This window comes from Homo sapiens, chromosome 17 (assembly GCF_000001405.40).
Source record: "Homo sapiens chromosome 17, GRCh38.p14 Primary Assembly".
Lineage (NCBI taxonomy): Eukaryota > Metazoa > Chordata > Mammalia > Primates > Hominidae > Homo > Homo sapiens.
Window position 1 is genome coordinate 54,705,452 of NC_000017.11, and position 1,504 is coordinate 54,706,955.

The window sequence follows — 1,504 nt, forward strand, 5'->3', positions numbered from 1 at the left end:
AAAATAGAAAAATGGTATATATATGAAAAACATAAAAATGAGCAAGAACTAGGTTAAAGCAAAAGTATTATTGTTTTTAACATGATGTGGAAATTTTAAAATTTATGAAATTTATTAAAACAATCAAATTTTTAAAGGTGTTCTTAAGGTTGTCAGATGCAAAATAAAGACACCCAATCTAATAGTCTTTTTATAAATGAGAAATAACCAATTGAAACAAAATCTTATTTACAATAGCAGCAAAAAACCCACAACATGCCTAGGAATTAACTAAAGACTAGAGCCATGTAGATTCAATATAATTAAACCTATTGATCTTTCTTGGGAGATACCCATGAAGTTTTAAATATTTGGAAACACAAATGAGGCTTGTGAATGAGAAAGCTTAAAATATTGGAAGATGTCAGTTTTCCTCCCTCGTTATCATCAATGATTCTGAAATAGCATCGCAATATTAATCAAAATTCCAAAAATATTTGGAGAGAGAATTTAAAATAATTTTAAAGTTTACTGGGAAGAATAAACATACACATTAAAATTCAAATCTTCACATCGTAAGTTTCTAATATCCATCCCCATGTGGCTCTTTGCTCCTTTTTGGCATATGGAAAGATGATATTTCCCCCATCCTTTGCAGTTAGGCTGACTAGTTCTGGCCAATCAAGTGTCAGTATAGGTAACTTGTCTCACTTCTGGACATAAGAAAGGAACTGCCATTATAAGAACTTCCAGCTCTCTCCCTGACACAGGAATTGTTGTGTAGAATTTGTGCTGAGATGGCAAAGCCACAAATTCAAACCAGCCTAGGTTGCTGAGTGATTGAGTAGAGGACAAGTATCCTGAAGAGCCATTTGAACCCACAACAGACTCTAAGTGGAAAAACAAACAAACAACAACAACACTTTGTGGCATTAAGCCATTGAGATATGGAGGATGTTAATGCAGCATAATTTAGCCTGTGCTAACTAATGAACTTCTGGGTAAGAAAAACAGGATCTTTGCTTTTGTTGCAATTGCTTTTGGCATCTTCATCATGAAATCTTTGCCTGTGCGTATGTCCTGAATGGTATTGCCTCAGTCATCTTCCACAGTTTTTATAGTTTTTCATTTTACATTTAAGAGTTTACTCCATTTTGAGTTAATTTTTGTATATGGTATAAGGAAGGGGTCCAGTTTCAATTTTCTGCATATGGCTAGCCAGTTAACCCAGCACCATTTATTGAACCAGTTATCCCAGCACCACTTATTGAATAGGGAATCCTTTCCCCCTTGCTTGTTTTTGTCAGGTTTGTCGAATATCAGATAGTTGTAGGTGTGCGATCTTATTTCCGGGTTCTCTATTCTATTCCACTGGTCTACGTGTCTGCTTCTGTACCAGTACCATGCTGTTTTGGTTACTGTAGAAATGTAGTATAGTTTGAAGTTGGGTAGTGTGATGCCTCCAGCTTTGTTCTTTTTGCTTAGGATTGCATTGGCTGTTCAGGCTGTTTTTCATTCCACATGA